General features: G+C 52.8%; 1 protein-coding gene across 2 annotated transcripts in view, besides 3 other annotated features; it reads right to left on the reverse strand.

The window, feature by feature from the left end:
* The window catches only part of C6orf132 (chromosome 6 open reading frame 132), a 41,502-nt gene that overhangs the window by 2,792 nt on the left and 18,786 nt on the right, over positions 1-19,924 (reverse strand). For both annotated transcript variants that reach the window (NM_001164446.3, XM_047419258.1), the window contains 2 exons: positions 6,306-6,381; positions 553-3,673 (listed from right to left, as the gene is read on the reverse strand). In NM_001164446.3, coding sequence (NP_001157918.1) covers positions 553-3,673; positions 6,306-6,381 — 3,197 coding nt within the window. The remainder of the gene's footprint in view (positions 1-552; positions 3,674-6,305; positions 6,382-19,924) is intronic.
* Positions 434-483: a silencer, noted in NCBI's record as "silent region_17198". NCBI's record gives its function as "represses an Ori minimal core promoter by ATAC-STARR-seq in GM12878 lymphoblastoid cells {active_cell/tissue: GM12878}" and the evidence as "EXISTENCE:reporter gene assay evidence [ECO:0000049][PMID:35858748]".
* Positions 644-743: a silencer, noted in NCBI's record as "silent region_17199". NCBI's record gives its function as "represses an Ori minimal core promoter by ATAC-STARR-seq in GM12878 lymphoblastoid cells {active_cell/tissue: GM12878}" and the evidence as "EXISTENCE:reporter gene assay evidence [ECO:0000049][PMID:35858748]".
* Positions 764-913: a silencer, noted in NCBI's record as "silent region_17200". NCBI's record gives its function as "represses an Ori minimal core promoter by ATAC-STARR-seq in GM12878 lymphoblastoid cells {active_cell/tissue: GM12878}" and the evidence as "EXISTENCE:reporter gene assay evidence [ECO:0000049][PMID:35858748]".

Here is a 19,924-nt window from a genome sequence, read left to right on the forward strand (position 1 = left end):
CTGCAGCTGGTTAGCCAACACGTCTCTCATCTCCCCGAGGGACCGAGAGGAAAAGATGCTGCTCATACTTCTGTATTTGCCCCGACAAGCCCTGGGCTTATCGACCCCAGGGAGGGACCGCAGACATCACAAACAGGGCTCCCATTCTGGTCTGGGCCCTGCTGGCCGGAGAACATGCCTAACAGCCTTTCACTCAGAACTCTTTCACTCCTGGCCTGTGTCGGGATCCAACTCTGTGTTGGGAAATCCCTCCACCCAAGGGCCACTCAGATCTCTCCCCGCCCCACACTTAGCCTGACCTCTGGGATCTAGCGGGCAGGAGAGAGACAGACGAGAGGAGCTGGTGGGGAAAGAGAAGGGAGGTCAGGAGGGAGGTCAGGAAGGCGCCAACAGCGCCCTCTCCCGGTAAGTGGGCCTCCCTCCCGCGTTCTACCTGCAAGGCCGAAGGGAGAAAACCAAATGTTTTCTCTTGACGGATGGCCGGGACTCCTTGGCCCTCGCCTGGCTTTCCACCCCTCCTGGCTTCCCGCACCAGCCGGGCCCGCAGCTCACCTGCCGGCAGCTGGGGCGAAGCCGTAGTCGGCGCTGCCGGGCGCTTTGTGCTTGGCCTCCGCGGCGCCCCGGGCGGCGCCCTCCAGGGACAGCCTCGGCGCGTGCAGGCCTCCGGGGGGCGCGCGACCCGCCGAGTTCACGCGCCGCATCTCGGGGCCTCCGGGCTGCGGCCCGAAGCAGTTGGGAGAGCTCAGGCTGCGGCCGGTGCCACCGTGGGGTAGCCCTGGGCCTCGGTGCGGCTCCCCGACGTACAGGCGCTTCTTTATGAGCGAGCGGCCCCCTCCCGAGAAGCGCTCCAGGCCCCCAGCCCCGGCGTAGCGCGCGCCCGCGGGAAAGCGCGAGAAGCCGAGAGCCGGGGGCGCCCCGGGGCCAGCGTTCGGGAGCTGCCTCAAGTCTGAGTAGTTGTTCCGGGGAGGGGAGCTCTGGCGGCCCAGATACTGGAGGGCCGGGGCCGGGGGCTCAGGGTCATTGCTGAACTCTGGCGGCGGTGGGATGACCTCGAAGTTGAACTCCTCCTCCTCCTCCTCCCTCTTGTTCGAAGGAGAAGGTGGGGAGGAGAAGGACTTGGGCAGCGGGTGGCCCTGGGGGAGGTTGGAGGGAGCTACTCTTTCCCAGGCCACAGGGGCCTGGGGCTCTGGCTTTGTCCAGTTGTGCCTGCGGCTCAGCTCTGTGCCCTCTGCGTCTCTTCCCAGCCGCGGCCCCCACTTATTGGGTATTTCGGTCGTCAGCGGGGAGTCCTTCTCAGCCTCCTTGGGTAACTTGGGCACCACAGTGAAGGAGTTGGGCGTGCCCTGGCTGTGGAAGATGCTGTCAGAGCTGGCCTCGGCTTGGTGGCTGTGGTCACGGAGACTTCCTGGCAGAGAGGACCGACCCAGGGCAGCCCCTACAGACCTTCCCTTCTGAGCCCTCTGCCTGGCCGCCAGGAGCAGGGCCATCGGCGAGCCCCGCTCCACCACCTCCCCAGTCACCGGGTGCCTGAGGAGTTCATCAGTGGGCTGGGCCGAGGCAGGAGGCTTGGCTGGCAGCCCTGGGGGCTCCTTCACCTCCACGGGCTCCCCTGGCCCTGCAGCCCCTCCTCTGGCCAGGGTGGGCATCACCACAGCAACCTCACGGCTGAGGCTGCTCTGGTGGCAGTGGGGCTTGTAGAGACATGGCACCTCTCCTCCACCAGGAGATGTCTTTGGTGGGAAGGCTGCAGATGAGCGGGCTCCCTGTGTGGGCAGCCTAGTGGCCTCTGAGGGGGACCCCTCTCCCCTTGCCTGGGAGGGAGTGGAAACTTCTTGAGATGCTGGCTTCTCTGGCTGGCCAGCTGGGCCTGAGTCCTTCTCTGCCATCAGTTGGGATGTGGTGGTGGGCAGAGTTGTGGCTGTAGATGCTATGGCAGGGCCAGATGTGGCCTTGAGTGGTGTGGTTGGCCCAGATGTGGCCTTGAGTGGTGTGGCTGGCCCAAGTGTGGCCTTGGGTGGTGTGGCTGGCCAAAGTGTAGCCTTGGGTGGTATGGCTGGCTCAGGTGTGGCCTTGGGTGGTATGGCTGGTCCCAACATAGCCTTGGGCTGGAGTGATGTAGTTGGCAGCAGGGTGGTGGATTGAGGTGGCAGATTCTTGGCCACAGGCTTGGAGAGTTTGTCATCATCAGCCCCGTTTTCACAAATTCTTCCCCCTTCTAGCCGAGGCTTAGGGGGCAGAGATCCTATGCTGGGCTTAGCCTCCTTCTCTGCTGCTGAGGAGAGCCGGGCCTCCAGCTCATTCCGGATCTGCCGCACACTGGGAGTTGGAGAGTCTTGGGGAATGTAGTCCACAGAGGGCAGGGTCAGGCTGGGGGCAGCCTCTGTCTCTGTCAGGCTGCTGCCGCCAAGACTCTTTTCAGGAACACCTGGGGGAGTGTCCTTTGCTGGCAGGCTCAGGAGAGTCTCCTTCTCAGGCAGGCGGGGGCCCTTCTTGCCCTCCTTGCTCTGAGGGGCCACTGTTGGGCCTGGCCTGTGACTGAGGAATCGGTCCTCTCTCCTGGAGCCACAGAGATAGGCTGCCAGCTCGTTCCGCAGCTTTTCCATCTGGCTGGGGTCCCTCCAGTCCACAGGTGCTGAAGACGCTGTGTTCTCTGGGCTGGGGGGGTTGGGTTTGGGTTTGAGAGCAGGAGAGCTGGATTTAGGGGTTTTTGTAAACCCAGCAGGTGGATGGGCTGCCTTCTGAGCACAGGGCAAAGGAGGTGCAGCTGGGGGAAGTGGGGGTGCTGGGGGAGGGAGGGGGGGTGCAGGAGGGGGCAGGGGAGGGGCTGGAGGCGGAGTCCCAGCTCGTTCATCTGCTTGGGACTGGGACTGGCCAAGCCTTGGGCTGGCTGGTGCTGTGGCCTTGAGCTCCCCAGGGCAGTCTGGCTCGGGGGCCCTGTCTGGGTAGACCTGGGAGGCGGGGCGGATGTGGAAGCTGGGAGGCAGTGGGAGTCGGCTGGGAGCCTTCTTGGTGGCCCCCTCTTCCTTTCGGGGAGCCTCTTGTGCTTCCTGAACTGGGATGGACGAAGTCCTGACTGGGGTTGGGGGAGGCACTTTGAAAGAACGGGGGAAGGTGAGATGGGGCTCTGGGTTAGGTCCCAGGGCGCTCCCCTTTGGCTCAGCAGGGCTTCTCGGGGGGCTGGCTCTGGTGGCCTCTGCCTGCCTGCCATTCAGTGCTACATCTGATTTCCACTTGGTGACACCCCCAGGGGGAAAGAGACGAGTCCCCACTGTGTGAGGAGATGCTGGAGCTGGGGGTGCTGGGGCTGGCACAGGAGGCGGTGGGGGGGCTAGAAAGGCCAAGGGTGGGGCAGGGGGAATGAAGTCAGGAGGGGTGGGTATGGATGGGGAGGAAAGAGTGTGTGGTGGGGATAGGGCCTCCAATACTGGGGGTGGAGGTGGGGCCATGCTGGGCGGGGGTGGGGGTTCCAGCAGCAGGGGAGGTGGTGGGGGTGCTGTGGAAGGTGGAGATGGCAGTGGCGACCCCCCTGGAGGTTCTGAAATGTCCTGAGGGGGCCCTGGGGCTGGGCCTGGGGGAGGTGGGGGGATGAGTAGATCCTGGCCATATTGTCCAGGCCTCAGGTCACCCACAGAGCTGTACAGTCGGAGGTTGCCATTGACTAGTGAGCTGGTACCTGAAAGAAGGAGAGGCAAAGATGGGGGGCAGGAACAAGGCAGACTAGCCCTGCCAATTTCTGTTTACCCAGGGCAGGGGCAGGGGTGGGCACCCAAGAGAATGACTGGATCATTTTCTCCTGAACACCAAGAGAGGGAGCAGCCCTGTGTCCAGTCTCCTGAGCTGTCCTGGGGGTGTCCCCCCTTCTTTCTAGGGAGCGTCTCCTGCCTGTCCCTGGCACAGCCTTTGAAGCCTGTATGGAATTACCTCCATTTGCCTCCCCAGAGTCACCCTCTAACCTGTGCCGGGACTCCCTTGCCCCCTGAGATGGGGGGTGGGGACAAGAGGGCCAGGGCACTGATTCCTCTGGCTGCCTCCTGGCTGCGTCACAGGTTGGCAGCAGCTGTCTTTCCTGCCCCGCAGACACAGGTCCTGTCGGGGTGTCCCTCTCCCACTATGTTCAGTCCCTGGGTGTCACTGTCCCCAGGAGACAAGAGTCGCCTAACCAAGCTCACACTCTGGTATACTGTCCCTTTACTCAACTCTCTTCAGTTATCCCCTTTGAGTGCGCCATCTGTTTCTTGCTGGGACCTTGACCTTGGCCAAGCCAGAAAGTCCAGGGTTCAAATCCCAGCTCTACCACTTATTAGATGAGTGACCTTGAACACACTAATTAACCTTGCTGAGCCTCAGTTTCCTCATCTGTCAAAGGGGCATGATGTCAGTGCTCGCTTCTTACAGCTGTTGTGAGGATTAAATGAGAGAATCCATGCAAATACACAGAAAGGGCTTGTCATGGTGCCAGGCCTCCAGTAGGCATTTAATAAAATGGAACCACTTTGATTCCTACCATCTGTGCTTAACTTTTCAGACTGTGTGAGACAGGGAAGGTGGGAAAGAGATAGGAAGTCATGGGGCAGGGGCGAGAGACCTCCTCAGTGAGGAAGGCTGGGTGAGAGACCCGCAGGAGGGAGCAATTTGCACAAACTACTCCTGCTTTCTAAAGACCCTGAAACTATTAAGAACCCAGCTGTCCACTTCATAGAGAATGGAGGCAGATTCTGGACTGCAGAATAGAACAGGGGTGTGCAGAAGGAAGGTGGCCTGGACAATCTGGGTGCTAAAGAGATGCTGAGAGCCCCTGGCCCCAGCAGCGCACATCCCTCTCTTGTCCTCGGACCAGGTCCCCAGCCCCTCTCCCAGAGTCTACTTCCTTCTTAGGGGCACCCATCCTTTGCTCCCCTCCTCTCAGTCCCTAACAGTGTGGCGAACCTGGGGAGTGTGCGGCTCTGAAGGGCTCCTCCCAGCTGCCTGACTTCAAACTGAAGAAACCAAGAGTGGGGAAGGGGAAAACTAACATTCACTGAGCACCCAACTGTCAGGCAGGACTTAGGAGCTGGGGTACAGCAGCAAAAAAACCAACAAAACAAAAAACAGACAAACACTGGTCCTCCTAGGGAGCTTACGCTTGAACGGGACAATGAACATAATGTGTGAGTACATTATTATCACATTAGAGGATGAGTGCGATGGGAAAAAACACCAGCAGGGGAGGGGTGCAGCAGGTGCAATTTAAATAGGGCAGTCCGGCCGGGTGCGGTGGCTCACACCTGTAATCCGAGCACTTTAGGAGGCTGAGGCAGGTGGATCACGAGGTCAAGAGATAGAGACCATCCTGGCCAACATGGTGAAACACTGTCTCTACTAAAAATACAAAAATTAGCTGGGCATGGTGGTGTGCACCTATGGTCCCAGCTACTCAGAGGCTGAGGTGGGAGAACTGCTTGAACCCGGGAGGCAGAGGTTGCAGTGAGCTGAGATCACACCACTGCCCTCCAGCCTGGCAACAGAGCGAGACTCCATCTCAAATAAATAAATAAATAAATAAATAAAGCAGTCTGAGAAGGCCTCGCAGAGAAGGTGACATTTGAGCAAAGAAGGGAGGAGTGAGGGAGACGGCCACACAGATGCCTCGCAGAAGAGCATTCTAACCTGAGAGGTCTGCAGTGCAAAGACCCCAAGGCGGAAATGTGCCTGGGGTATTTCAGGAGCAACAGGAGATGCTGTGGCCGGGGCAGTGTGGGAGGGGAAAGCAAGCAAGCAAAGTGGCCAGACTCCGGTCAGACTCCAGCAGTCCTTGCAAGAACCTTTTCTCTGAGTGACACGGGAAGCCATTAGTGAGTTTGAAGCACCTCTGAGAGGTGTGACAGACATGACATACATCCCATCCACCACTTCATTTACTCCTCCAAACTGAACTGTTGTTCCCATCGTTCGTTGGAAGATACAGAGGTAGGAGGGGTGAAGTGTCTTGCCCAAGGGAGCAAAGTGAATATGTGGGGAGCTGGGATTCAAAGCCAGGCCCTTCTTCCACTTTATGCTGCACTTGTTCCTGCTCTGGCTTTGTCCCCTTGCCATCCTTCCCCCGCCAGAAAGGGGCCTTCACTGACCGTGGCTCTCCTCAACTCCCAGCCCCACTGCCCTAGCCCACTGCGGCCAGTAATCAAGATGACTGAGGATGGCGAGAGTGGCTGTGCCTGAGGACTCTGGCTTTGTCACCAGCTGTGAAGATGAGCAGATGCTTAGCTTTTGAACTCAGGGCCCTAGGAGGAAAGAAAGATGGACAAGCCCCAAGCCCAGGGTTCACTTACCTGTCACTTCTTTGTCTGCAAAATCATCTGGAACCGAGGGGGTGGGCACAGCCAGCCCATGGTTTTCCTGGGCATTCTGAAAGAGACCAGAAAGAAATCAGGGGACAGGGAAAGATGGACAGATAATTCTCAAACTGCTGCTCTTTGAGGCCATTTTACTGCTTGAAAATCTGCAGTGACGGTCATGGTTGCATAACCTTGTGCATATACCAAAATATAAAAGGCTGATTTTAAAAAGTGAATCTTGTGGTACAGTCAACCAATCATCACTATTTGTCATAGTTATGTTCTATAAAGTTGCAATGAACATAGTATTAGTAAATACTGACCCGTTGCTCCTAGGGGAAATACAGGGTTAGGTTCCTATGAGCCTCTGGTCACAAGATTTTTGTCAACTGATCAATACATAACCATAACCTTGTTTTAGCTGTGTTTCTGCTTAAAGACATTTTAATATATTTTGTTGGTTGGTTAACATTGAACTCATGGCCGATAGCACTATAACACATGACACTAAACAGAAAAAGACACTTGTTTTTGTATGACAGCTAAAACAAGAAGGCATAGAATCCTCTTGTTCAGCTGGGAACATGTGCATTGAGCAACTCAAAATTTTCACTGCTCTGTGCATGTCTGCAAATGACCACAGAAGCAACACAAGCATTGATTCTGGGGTTACAAATACGTTTTAGCCACTAAGCAAATTTGCAAATACAGAATCCACAAATAGGGAGGATTGACTGTATATGAATTCCATCTCGATGAAAAAGACAAAACAAACAAATAGAATCTGCATTGACTCTCCATGGAGGTCCACAGGTGAAAAGCCAAACTCCTCAGCCTGGCCTCCTGTGTGTTCTTAGTTTTCATTAGGTGTTTACAGAAAAATAAAAAGTGATGAACTTGAATTTTTTTTTGTTTTAATTGAGACAGGGTTTTATTCTGTCACCTAAGCTGGAGTGCAGTGGTGCAATCATGGCTCACTGCAGCCTCCATCTCGTGGCTCAAGCAATCTTCCCATCTGTAGCTGGGACTACAGATGTGTGCCACCATTCCTGGCTAATTTTTTTTTTTTTTTTTTTTGAGATGGAGTCTTGCTCTGTCACCCAGGCTGGAGTGTAATGGCATGATCTCTGCTCACCACAACCTCTGCCTCCTGGGTTCAAGCAATTCTCCTGCCTCAGCCTCCCGAGTAGCTGGGATTACAGGGGCGTGCACCACCATGCCCAGCTAATTTTTTGTATTTTTAGTAGAGACGGGGTTTCACCATGTTGGCCAGGCTGGTCCTGAACTCCTGACCTCGTGATCTGCCCACCTCTGCCTCCCAAAGTGCTGGGATTACAGGTGTGAGCCACCGCGCCCAGCCCTGGCTAATTTTTTGTATATGTTTTAGAGAATGTGGTTTCGTCATGTCTCCCAGGCTGGTCTTGAACTCCTGGGCTCAAGTAATCCGCCCACCTTGGCCTCCCAAAGTGTGGGGATAACAGGTATGAGCCACTGTTCCCAGCCTGAACTTGAATATTTATAGCTCTACAGATGCCCTTCTGATCGCTAAGCTTAAGAGGCTATAATATTTTTACACAGCTGTCAGTTTGTACATACTATTTTGCATTCTATTTTTTTTTTCCAAACACACATTTCCATATGTCAACAAAGTCCACACACCTGCTGTTTTGAAGAGCTGTAGAGCATTTTAGGGTAGTTTTCAAGGTCCCCAATGACCTGGCCTCATGCTTCCCAGCCAACTGTTATTTCCCACTCACCTATTACACCCATCCCACATTGTAGCTTCACCGACTCCCTCCCTGCCACCTTTTCAACCACCCCATATAGTCCGTGTTCATCCATGATGCTGGGCATTGGTCAGCTGTACCTGTCATTCCCACTCTCCATTTATAACAATAATCATAGTCATAATACTCCTTGCACTGTGCTCTAACTAAACACATTATCTCAGTCACACCACTCTGTATAGAAGAGGATGTCATCATTTACCAGATGAAGAAACTGAGGCTCAAAGACCTTTGGTAAGTTGTCTAAAGTCACACAACCAGTACTACCAAACCCAGGTCTGTGGAGCTCCCACTCCTTAGTATTTTGCCTCCCTAAAATCCCTTATCCTTCAAGGATTAGCTGAGCCCCTCTAGGATGATGGAACAGGGGTAGGGGATAAGAGCATTGGCTCTGGCTTTCCAGCCTGTCTGGATTTGAATATCAGATCTGCTACCTATTAGGTGTATGACTATGCAAGTTACTTAATCTCCCTGTGTCTCAGTTTCCCCATCTGGGAAATGGTGATAACAATACAATTACCCATAGTAGGGAAGCTGTGAGGACTAAATGATGCAATGCACAAAAAGCACTTGGGAGCCATCCCCTGTCCGCACCACACTGACCCACTGCTACCCAGAGCAACCCACAGCCAAGCTCCCAAAAGAGGGGAGACACTTGTTTGCACTCCAGATTGTCCTCTAGTTCCTTCAGTGAGATCTGGGAGCTCCTTGGAGCCCAGGGACCATGTCTTATGGTATCCCCCAAAGCTGGATGCATAGTGAGCCCAGTTGTTAGTGATGGGCTGATGGTACTAACCCTCTGGACTTAATATACAAGAAGGGCACTCAAGGTCGATGTTACAGAAATATCTATGAGACCCTGGGTTACCAAGGGCCATCTCAGAATTACTCTGGTCACTTGGGATCAGCAAACCACTCATCTTGTTCTTGAAGAATTCTGAAGCTGGAATGGCCTTGAGCCATCAACTTGTCTTTTTTTTTTCCTGCCTTTACTTGATTTGCATGGCCAACAACATACCTGTTCTCAACTTTTCTCAAACCCAGTGATTGGGAACCAGGGGCAGGTATAGGGACCCAGCCCATCAGAAGTGTGTCTCCCATGACATCCTGAGATGTGCCACACACACATGCAAATCACTGACATTCTAATAACCTCCATCAAGTACACACACTCTGATTTTGATGAGATGGAGGCCAGGCCTTCAAAAGCCAGGGTTGAGATCTCTGATTAATTTCAACATAATTGAAAAGCGGAAAGGCTGGGGACTTAGCATCAAAAGTCTTGGGTTCCATTCATGCTCAGGCTTGCCAGCAGTGTAGCCTTGGATGAGCAGTGGAGATGTGGGATGGGGACAGTGATGTTGAGCCATTGTCCAGGCTCCTCCTGTGCAATAGCCCTATACTAAGAGTGTGACCGGTGTCACCTCAAATCCCTTCACAGAGCCAGGGTGCAAACCTAGGCTTTCCACCTTACCTTTTCTACAGATCACTGAGACCCATTTTCTTCACTTAGAAAACCAAGGCAGCTGGGCATGGTGGCTCACGCCTGTAATCCCAGCACTTTGGGAGGCCAAGGCAGGAGGATCACCTGAAGTCAGGAGTTCAAGACCAGCCTGGCCAACATGGCAAAACCCCATCTCTACTAAAAATACAAAAATTAGCCAGGCATGGTGGCAGGTGCCTGTAATCCCAGCTATTCAGGAGGCTAAGGCAGGGAGAATTGCTTGAACCAGGGAGGCAGAGGTTGCAGTGACCTGAGATCATGCCACTGCACTCCAGCCTGGGCGATAGAGCAAGACTGTCTCAAAAAAAGAAAAGAAAAAAAAGAAAGAAAAAAAAAGAAAATTGAGCCAATAGTTCCTACTTTGCAGGGCTATTATGAGAATCAAATGAGATAATATCCCTAACCCAGGAAACCAATGCTAGTTGAAGGATTATATCTTGTAATCCTCTATTCCAGAAAAGTGAAAAAATCGTGAACAATCAAAGCTAAGCTCCCTGTAAGTCTAGTAGCACCTTCTGGGTTACCCTGAATGCTTAATGGTGTGTGTGGGAGGAAGACGGATAGACTTTATAGGCCTAAGGTAATATTACTCACTATGCCCTTTGATCTTAAAGCACTTAGAAAACACATTAGACTCCCAAGACCACAGGGCAAAAATCCATCTCTGGAGCGGCTTGTAACAACAGCTCAGTCCAAGCCCTGGCTTCTTAGGTCCCTATTCTGACACAAGGGGATCCCACAGCACCCCCACCACCTCACCACCATGCTTGCGGTGCTGTGACACACCATGGTCTGCCCTTGGAGCAAGTCCCAAAGGCCAGCCTCATCCCTTCAGAAGCTTCCAGTATTGAACTGAACATAGTCTCTCTGGCTCTCCAAGCCCCTGTCTGGCCCTTTTCTTTCCCACTTGGGCCCACATGGGCCCACATGGGCTCCTGTGGCTTACTTAGCTGTCCCTTTCACTGATGTTTTTTCAGGGAAGGCAAATGCAAACTCATTTTAATCTTAGTCCCATAAAAACAGACTCAGAAGGTAAATTGCTTCCCACCCAGGCAGCTGGCATCAAGTGCACTGGCGTGGATGGTGACATATTTCAGTGTGCAAATGCACAGGTGTGGACAGCATCCATCTCCATGGGTGCTGAATTTCCTAACCTGCCTCTCTTCACCTCAGAGAACAAAGGAAAAGCCTCCTTAAGAAGAGGGCTTGAGGCAGGGCACAGTGGCTCACGCTTGTAATCCCAGCACTTTGGGAGGCTGAGACAGGCGGATCACTGGAGGTCAGGAGTTTGAGACCAGCCTGCCCAATGTGTTGAAACGTTGTCTCTACTGAAAATACAAAAATTAGCCAGGCGTGGTGGCAAGCGACTGTAATCCCAGCTACTCGGGAGGCTAAGACAGGGAGAATTGCTTGAACCCAGGAGACAGAGGTTGCAGTGAGCCAAGATTGTGCCACTGCACTCCAGCCTGGGCGACAGAGAGAGACTCTGTCTCAAAAAAAAAAAAAAGCCGGGCATGGTGGCTCACACCTGTAATCCCAGAACTTTGGGAGGCTGAGGTGGGCAGATCACGAGGTCAGGAGTTGGAGACCAACATGGTGAAATCCCATCTGTACTAAAAATACAAAAATTAGCCGGGCATGGTGGCAGGCACCTGTAATCCCAGCTACTCAGGAGGCTGAGGCAGGGGAATCACTTGAACCCGGGAGGCAGAGGTTGCAGTGAGCCAAGATCGCACCATTGCACTCCAGCCTGGGCGACAGAGTAAGACTCCATCTCAAAAAAAAAAAAAAAAAGAAAAGAAAAAGTTATGTACTTAATGCCACTGAATTGTACATTTTAAAATGGTTAAAAGGCCGGGCGCAGTGGCTCATGCCTGTAATCCCAGCACTTTGGGAGGCTGAGGCGGGCGGATCATGAGGTCAGGAGATTGAGACCATCCTGGCTAACACGGCGAAACCCCGCCTCTACTAAAAACACAAAATATTAGCCCGGCATGGTGGCAGGCGCCTGTAGTCCCAGCTACTCGGGAGGCTGAGGCAGGAGAATGGCGTGAACCCGGGAGGCGGAGCTTGCAGTGAGCCGAGATGGAGGCACTGCACTCCAGCCTGGGCGACAGAGCGAGACTCCGTCTCAAAAAAATAAAATAAATAAATAAATAAAACGGTTAAAACGGTAAATTTTATCTTATGTATATCTTATAATAAAAAAGTTAAACAAAACAGAAGACAAGAAATCAAAAGAAAAAGTGTTGGGGGCAACTTAGAATGTGTGTAACCTCTAGACATCACCTCTTTCTTCCATCCCCTAAACTCCCAATCTTAACAGTAGGAACAACAGCTGCTACTTGGCCAGCACTTATTCTGTATCAGGTACTCTTTCAGCACTTTCTTTTTTTTTTTTTCTTTTTTCTTTTTCTTTTTCTTTTTTTTTTTTTTTGAGATGGTCTCGCTGTGTCGCCCAGGCTGGAGTGCAGTGGCAAGATCTCGGCTCACTGCAACCTTTGACTCCCGGGTTCCAGCGATTCTCCTGACTCAGCCTCCCAAGTAGCTGGGAGTACAGGGACCTGCCACCACACCCGGCTAATTTTTGTATTTTTGGTGGAGACGGGGTTTCACTATGTTGGCCAGGCTGGTCTTGAACTCCTGAGCTTGTGATCCGCCCGCCGTGGCCTCCCAAAGTGCTGGGATTACAGGCATGAGCCACTGTGCCCAGCCTCTTTCAGCACTTTCTATCACTTAACTCATTTGCTTTTCACAACAGCCCAATGAGACAGGTGCTGTCATTGCTACCGCCATTTTCCAGATGAGGAAATGGAGGCTCAGAGAGATTCAGTGACATGCCCAAGGTCCCACAGCGAGTTATGGATCACTGTCTTTTCGGGCACCTTGCAAACCCAGCTGGTCATCCAGTTCTGCCCATCACTTCCTGAATCCTTCCTTCCTGCTGCCCCTCCACCTCAGCCCTTCCTCAGTCCTCACCATCCCTCACCCAGATGAACAGACTCCCTTTGATGCCAGATACTTTCCCAGTCTCCGCCTCACTCCATTCTCCAAAGCTGCCACGGGGATATTCTTTCCCAAAAGTATCTCAGAGCAGCTTACTTTCTGGCTCAGAATCCTTCCATTGGTCCAGAGGAAGAAATTCAAACACCTTCACATGGCCTGTGAGAACTTTCATAAGTTGGACCTCTGCAGCTCCTACCATCTTCTCCCCACCTACTCCACAAACCCTGGGCTCCCACTGGTGGTTCTTGTCTTTTTCCTATCCCACTGTAGCTGGGGGAACCTGACCGACTCATGAACAAGTGTGCTCCCTGCAGCAGGGGTCCTCAGTGGGGCACAAAAACCACCTGTTGGAGGAATTGTGCAGAGGTTTCAGAGGTCCCAGGGGCAGATGGGTAGCTTGAAAAGCCCTCTAGATGATCCAGCTACATCTGCCTCTCCCAACCCCCGAAAGTCACTGCTCCCACTTGCGATCCATTTCCACACCTCAAGCTTCCGCAGCCTTGTTCTTGTTCTTACTCTGCCTAGGATTCTCTTCTTTTCCTGGCAAACTCCTAGGTATCCTTTAAGCCCCAGATTAAATGCCCTTCCTCTGTGAAGTCCTTCTTGGCAACCCCAGCCAGAGTTAATTCTCCTCCCTGTGTGATCCTCAGGCTCTGTGTGCATTATTATTGCAGCTGACATTTATTAGGCATCTACTAGGTGCAAGGCACTGTTCTGAGTACTTCACATATAGCAACCCAGTCTTACTGTTAGTTTTCACAGTAACCCTAAGAGACAAGTTATTATTTTTATTTTATAGATGAGAAAACTGAAGCACAGAGGGCTAAGTACATTGCCCAAGGTCACACAGCTAGTAAGTGCCAGGGCCAATATTGGGACCTGACAGCCTGCTTCCTTTGCCAGTACAGTGTTTGCTCTCATACTTTCCCTCTAACACAACTCTATGTCTATAGACATAGAGTTGATGACTGTAGTCCCTGCTGCCCAGCCCAGTCTACTTGAGGGCTCGGTGATGGCTGCTTCTTTGTATGTGCCTGACACAGACCGGGCAGTTAAACAAATGTTTGTTGAATGAATATGTTCCTGGATGAGTGAGAGTGGCAGAAAGAATATGGGACAAGTGCCGGGCATGGTGGCTCACGCCTGTAATCCCAGCACTTTGGGAGCCCAAGGTAGGTGGATCATCTGAGGTCAAGAGTTCGAGACCAGCCTGACCAACATGGTGAAACCCCATCTCTACTAACAATACAAAAAAATTAGCCAGGTGTAGTGGTGGGCACCTGTAATCCCAGCTACTTGGGAGGCTGAGGCAGGAGAATCACTTGAACCCAGGAGGTGGAGATTGCAGTGAGCCAAGATTGTGCCACTGCACTCCAGCCTGAGTGACAGAGCAAAACCCTGTCACAAAAAAAAAAAAAAAAAAAAAAAAAAAGAATATGGGACAAAGAGGCAGAAAACCTGTGTTATGGCTCTAGCTCTGCTACCAATTAACTTGGAGCAAAGTAACTTCTCACTCTGGTCTCAGTTTTCTGCCCCTTCTGTAAATACTCTCCAAGGATCACTTTGACTACAGCGTTCTGTCAGTCCATAAAGTGTCCCTTCTGTGAGTCAGCTCACCTGCGTCGTGTGGGCAGTGACCTGGACACTCAGGGTCACCCCTCGATGACAGGGTGTTGGGACAGACAACTGTATTGCCTCGAGGTTGTCCTCTGACTCCAGAGATGCCAAAGGGGCAGCAGGGTAGAGGCAGGAGTAGGTGGGAGGGAGAGTTCTCAAAGTTCTTTTCCAGGAGCCCCAGACCAGGCAGGCAGGGCTGGGCTTGAGGTCACTGTTGGCCTCAGACACAGGGCTCTGACTGCTGCAGTCAGCTGGGGAGCCTGCTGTGTCCCAACCTTACACTGCTCCACCCTTGGCATCAGGAAAATGACAGACTTAGGAGCCCAGGGTGCTGCCAGCAGGGGTTGCCATGTGCCTCAAACATTCTCAGGGGAGTGGAGTGCATGGCCCTCCGAGTGTGGCAGCCCACATCGAAAGGGGCAGACCAACCTGTGTACAGTGAAGCAAAGAACATGCAAAAGAGCATCTGAGCGTGCTCCTGGTGGGCCTGGCTGCAGCACCTCCCTCTTTGGGCCAGCCTGGGCAGCCGGCCACAGCCACTCCCTGCACTGTGGCTGCCTGGGGCAGAGTCCAGCCCTGGCTCTACCAGCTTGGGAACTCCACGAAACTGGGCCTCAGCACTTCCTCGTCCTCACACCCAGACAACACCCAGAAGCTAAGACCATCGGTCACTTCACTTACTTCACAGAGGTGTACAAGCCAGCAACTCAGTTCAGTTGAAGCAGCCCTTTAATTTTTTTTTTTTTTTTTTTTTTTTAGAGATAGGATCTCACTGTCACCCAAGCTGCAATGCAGTGGCAAGATCATAGCTCACCGCAGCCTCAAATTCCTGAGCTCCTGTAATCCCAGCACTTTGGGAGGCCAAGGCAGGTGGATCTTAGGTCAGGAGTTTGAGACCAGCCTGGCCAACATGGTGAAACCCTGTCTCTACAAAAAAAAAAAAAAAAAAGAAAAAAAAAATAGGCAGGTGTGGGGCAGGCGCCTGTAATCCCAACTACTCGGGAGGCTGAGGCAGGAGAATCGCTATCACTTGAACCCAGGGGGCAGAAGTTGCAGTGAGCTGAGATTGCGCCACGTCACTCCAGCCTGGGCACAAGAGCAAGACTCTGTCTCAAAAAAAAAAAAAAAAAAAAAAAAAAAGGGAGAATTCCTGGCCTCCCAAAGTTTGGTACTACAGGTGCAAGCCACCATGCCCAGCTTTCCAGCTTTTTTTTTTTTTTTTTTTTTGAGACAGAGTCTCACTCTGTTGCCCCGGCTGGAGTTCAGTGGTGCAATTTCGGCTCACTGCAAACTCTGCCTCCCAGGTTCAAGCAATTCTTCTGCCTCAGCCTCCCAAGTAGCTGGGACCACAGGCGCGTACCACCACACCTGGCTCATTTTTTTGTATTTTAAATACAGATGGGTTTTTGCTATGTTGGCTAGGCTGCTCTCGAACTCCTGGCCTCCAGTGATCCACCCACCTCGGCCTCCCAAAGTGCTGAGATTACAGGCGTGAGCCACTGCACCCAGCCTGTCCAGCTTGTTTTTATATTTTTTGTGGGACAGGGTCTTGCTATGTTGGCCAGGCTGGTCTCGAACTCCAAGGCTCAAGTGATCCTCCTCTGCTTCCCAAAGTGCTGGGATTACAGATGTGAGCCACCTCACCTGGCCAAAGCAGCCCTTTAAAAACCATCACAGTGGCCAGGGGCGGGTGCTCATGCCTGTAATCCCAGCACTTTGGGAGGCCGAGGTGGGCTGATCACCTGAGGTTAGGAGTTCAAGACCAACCTGACCAACATGGAGAAACTTGTCTCTACTAAAAATACAAAATTAGCAGGGCATGGTGGCACATGCCTGTAATCCTAGCTACTCAGGAGGCTGAGGCAGGAGAATCGCTTGAACCCGGGAGGCAGAGGTTGCGGTAAGCCAAGATCATGCCATTGCACCCCAGCCTGGGCAACAAGAGCGAAACTCCACCTCGAAAACAAAAACAAAAACAAAAAAAACCCATCATCACAGCCTAGTATATTGGAAAGTTCCCAGCAATGATTAGGGAGGAAGCATGGGTGGAGGAAACTACCATTCCAAGAATATTTATATGTATTTCCTTCCTTGTCTTTATTGCGAGGTTCTTTTTTTTTTTTTTTCTTGAGACGGAGTCTTGCTCTGTTGCCCAGGCTGGAGTGCAGTGGCGCGATCTCGGCTCACTGCAAGCTCCGCCTCCCGGGTTCATGCCATTCTCCTGTCTCAGCCTCCCAAGTAGCTGGGACTACAGGCACCCACCACCACGTCCAGTTAATTTTTTGTATTTTTAGTAGAGACGGGGTTTCACCGTGTTAGCCAGGATGGTCTCGATCTCCTGACCTCATGATCCGCCCGCCTAGGCCTCCCAAAGTGCTGGGATTACAGGCTTGAGCCACCGTGCCCGGCCTGAGGTTCTTAACAATGAACTTTTGTTTCCTTTATAATTAAAAAAAAAATACCCAATACAATAATAGTGTGTTTTTTGGGGTTTTTTGTTTTTGTTTTTTGAGACGGAGTCTCGCTCTGTCACCCAGGCTGGAGTGCACGATCTTGGCTCACTGCAACCTCCACCTCCCAGGTTCAAGCGATTCTGCGGCCTCAGACACCTGAATACTTAGGACTACAGGTGCATGCCACCATGCCCGGCTAATTTTTTGTATGTTTAGTAGAGACGGGGTTTCATCATATTGGCCAGGCTGATCTCAAACTCCTGACCTTGTGATCCTCCCACCTCGGGCTCCCAAAGTGTTGGGATTACAGGCATGAGCCACCGCGCCTGGCCTAGTTTTCTTTTTAATTATTGTGATTGAGTGGAAAAAACATCAACTTAGGAGTCAGGCAGACCAGATTTGCAATCTTAACTGACTTATCTAAAAGGAGTCAGAGATAGTAGCTGACATATAGATGGTGCTCAAGAAGTGTGTCCCTTTCTTGCCTTCTGAGGCTCAGCTTTCTCATCTGTAAAATGGGAATAATCCCACCTCCCTTAGGTTTGCTGTGATACCAGAGGCCACTGCACACCTTAAGAGGTCCTGCAGAGTAGTGCTCAAGAAAGTTTATTTCCCCTGGATTCTAATCAAGGACTTGGGCCACTGCTCCGGGCACAGCCTTCAGGGTGTGTCTCTCTGGTTGCATCTGAGGAAATGGGTTCTTCCCCATGGTCAGGGACAGGTCACCAGGAATCCCCTATTGCCCTATTGACTGCTAACATTTCAGAGTTGAGAAGGAGGAAGAAAGGGAGGGAAGAAGGCAGGGAAGAAAACACTCGCTATTCAAGGATGAGGCTAGTTTCCCTTTGCAGTTTTGTGGGGGCTGGGGCCCACTGCTCACCTGTTGCACCCCTGAGAGTTCAGGAGGGCAGGGCTTACCCACTGATGGCCCCAGTCCACCCCACTGGCCTCCTCATGCCTGGGACACACACATCCTCATGCCTGGGATTCCTCAGAGCTCAGCCAAGTCTCAAGGGTGGGTCACCAGGGGCTGGGCCAGTGGGCAATGCATGGTTGACCCTGGGTAGCAGCCAGCTCGGAGTCTTAGCTACGCATCGTGGAATGCAAACTTCCTCACCAGACTCCTCCTGGAGCCTGGTCTGGGGCACTGGCCCTGTGGGGCGGGGTGTGGAGTTGCAGAGTGGGAGGGAGATGACCCTGAACCTGAGTTAGAGGCAGGCATGGTTGGGGGCACCACTGCAGGCTGTGAGAAAAGGAAGCTGGGAGCCCCCACCCCTGCCCTAGAGCAAGAGCTACACAGAAACCCCTCCAGGCACCCAACATACCCAACTAGATGAAGCCCAGCCAGTTGTTTTCCTGGCTTAGGGGTGCAGTATGGGGGTGCTGGCCTGGTGGACGTGGTAGAGGATCAAGGATGGAGAAAGGCTGTGTGTATCCTGCAGAGCAGCTATGAAGTTGGGAGCCAGTGAACAGTTTATAAAGGAGAAGGATGGTTTCCCCAACACAGCCCCACACTGTGCCACAGCTCAGACCCCTCCTGGGGGCCAGAAAAGAGTGTCCACCCATGAAGCATCTTCCTCTGGACCTATCTACCATCTGAGAACCACCCTTAGACCCAGGTTACCACAGCTTCTGCCCTCCACCAGGTATTATGGCGGGCCCAGGTCTGCTCTCTCTCTGGGGCAAGAAGTCAGTAGGATCAAGGGGACATGCCCTCAGAGGGCGCACCACGTCCCTGGAGACCCTGCCTAAATGGCCCTGAGCCCACTTCAAGGGCTTCTTCTCTGGCCAGTCTTCCTGAGGGGGCACACATCTGTGAGTCCATGGGGACAAAGAGGCGGCTGTTTATGGGCCAGGATGAAGGATGGAGGTTTATGGGCCTAGATGGAGCTTTGGAGGTTCAGGCTGAGGTCCTTACTGAGAGGGAAGGAACCAGGTGGGTAGAGAAGGGGGTGTGGAGCTCCATTTGCACTCTCGTGGCAGGCCTAACACCCCACACCCCTCAACCCTTTGGCCTAACATCATCCACACAAACCAGCTAAAAGCCAATCATGGCTGCCTTGCCTGGCTCACCCTACAGAGCTCAGATTCCAGCCCCAAAAGGTGCCTAGGCCTTGAGTTTAGAGAAAAGCTCCTGCAGCAGCGGGGTGGGTGGAAAGGAGAGATGGGGCTGACTCCAGCTGCCTCTTCAGCAGCAAGGACTAAGGGAGGGGTGCAGGGCAGGCGAGGCCTCCTGCCTGAGCCTAGGGATGCCTCCTCTGGCAGAGCCAGGCCTGTCTGACTCAGAGGGTGGGGTGACCCAGGCAGCTCTCACCGCCCAGGGCACCCCTGGGGACCTGTTGGGCCAGTTTTCCCATACTTGCCACACTGGCATTTAATTTTTAATTCCTCATATGCATCACCCTGGCGATGGCTTGATTCAGACTGGGGAGGGCAAGAGAGAACCCCAGAAAACACAACCTTGCTGCCACCCACTGTTCTATGGACCCAGCTCTCAGACGCAGAGGGACAGGCCGGGCGCGGTGGCTCACGCCCGTAATCCCAGAACTTTGGCAGGCCAAGGTGGGCAGATCATGAGGACAGGAGATCGAGAGACCCTCCTGGCTAACACAGTGAAAACCTGTCTCTACTAAAAATACAAAAAATTAGCCGGGCGTGGTGGCAGACGCCTGTAGTCTCAGCTACTCGGGAGGCTGAGGCAGGAGAATGGCTTGAACCCAGGAGGCGGAGCCTGCAGTGAGCCGAGATCGCACCACTGCACTCCAGCCTGGGTGACAGAGACAGACTCCATCTCAAAAAAAAAAACAAAACAACGAAGAAGAAGAAGAAAGAAGAAAGGAGAAGGAGAAGGAGAAGAAGGAGAAGAAGGAGAAGGAGAAGAAGGAGAAGGAGAAGAAGAAGAAGAAAAGAAGAAAGAAGAAGGAGGAGAGGGAGGTGGAGGAGGAGGAGGAGAAGGAGAGGAAGAGGAAGAGAAGAAGAAGAAGAAGAAAGAAGAAAGAAGAAGAAGAAAGAAGGAAGAAGAAGAAGAAACAGAGGGACAGGCTCTGGCTTGCTCTCTGGGCCCAGTCTTCCCTGAGAAGGAGGGAGAAAGGATCACCCCTCACTCAGCCAGGCCTCCGATGTTGTACCCGGGACCAGCCTGGGGAGAAGGCCTGGCTCCTATCCCTGCTTCTATCGAGCCCAGTGGCCTGGACAGGGCCCTCCCCTCCCCAGGCCGCAGTATTCTCATCTTGACAACTGCTGTAG

This window comes from Homo sapiens, chromosome 6 (assembly GCF_000001405.40).
Source record: "Homo sapiens chromosome 6, GRCh38.p14 Primary Assembly".
Taxonomy (NCBI): domain Eukaryota; kingdom Metazoa; phylum Chordata; class Mammalia; order Primates; family Hominidae; genus Homo; species Homo sapiens.